Raw genomic sequence first — 1,343 nt, forward strand, 5'->3', positions numbered from 1 at the left:
AGCCCTTTAATGGAATGAATCCAAGATTTATCTCACACGGTTTCTCAGAGTTGCTAATAGACTGAATTCTGGTTGAATGATTGTTAATGTATATTAATAAAATGTGTATTTTATTGTGTTTCTCTTTTTCTCTTACTTTGCCTGTTTCTCTGCTTTTGTTTTCTGGAATCATATCCAAAATCAACTAATGAATCCAAGTTCTTGACTCAATTTCTACTATGGAAGAAAACCTAAACTAAGACAAAATCAGTACAAGTCGATTTGAAAACAAAAGGGGGAGTGGGTGGGTAGATATTTACCTAATTATGTGAAGGATGGCAAGGAGTCTACAAGTTGAGAAATGAGGAGCAAAGTATTCCTGTTAAAGAAATCAGTTTATGAGAAAATAGTGAGTTGTAAAAAAAATTACAAAAAAGAGAGACTATAACAGAAACTGATAGCAAACGAATGTGGTTTTATTATAGTGATTGGTGGGGAGATTGACAGAAGATTTTAGAGAACTAGACAGAGGCCATAGTAATGGTTTTGAGTTTTGAATTAAATTAAATAGAAAAATCATTGCACATTTATAAGCACAGGAAATAAATAAGAAATTGTAATACTTCCTGATGTTCTGCAATCCACCAGGAAAGATTAAATTGATAGGGCATCCAAGAAAAGTTGTTTTAAGCTTGAATATATAGCAGTTAGTTTGGGAGTAAATGTATATGCTGAGGAAGAAAGTGGTGTTCCAGAAACGGAGAGGAAAAAACAGACATTTCTCAATATGTGAATAATAGGAGGACAAATCGGCCAATCTCTGGGAAAAGACAACACAGTTAAAATGTAAAATACACATAGTCTTTCACCCATTTTTAGTAATATATATATATATGCGTGTGTATATATCACTCTATTATATACTATTTATGTAATATATTTACATATTTGTGATAAACATAATGATTTAAATATATAATATGTATTATATATATTTATATACTTATAGAAACAAAAATTGTATATATACATGCATATATTGCTTGTAAATTTGTGGAATAATGCACGCACAAGAGTATTCATTGAAAAGTTTTAAAGAGCATAAAACCTGAAACAACCTATATGGTCAAACTCCTATAGATTATGAGACATTTATAAAATGGTATATTATTCAGTCATTACAAAGGAAAACAAAACTGATCTATGTTGATCCCAATTATATTACCTGAAAAAAGCGAGGGACAGAAAGTTTTTGTAGTTTGCTGCCTTTCATACAATATCCTATGTTATCTAGTACACATAAAATGCAAACTTTAATAAACTCATTAGTTAATTTCAGCATTATTTGCTCTTTCTATGAGAAG

This window comes from Homo sapiens, chromosome 4, assembly GCF_000001405.40.
Source record: "Homo sapiens chromosome 4, GRCh38.p14 Primary Assembly".
In the NCBI taxonomy this organism is placed as follows: domain Eukaryota; kingdom Metazoa; phylum Chordata; class Mammalia; order Primates; family Hominidae; genus Homo; species Homo sapiens.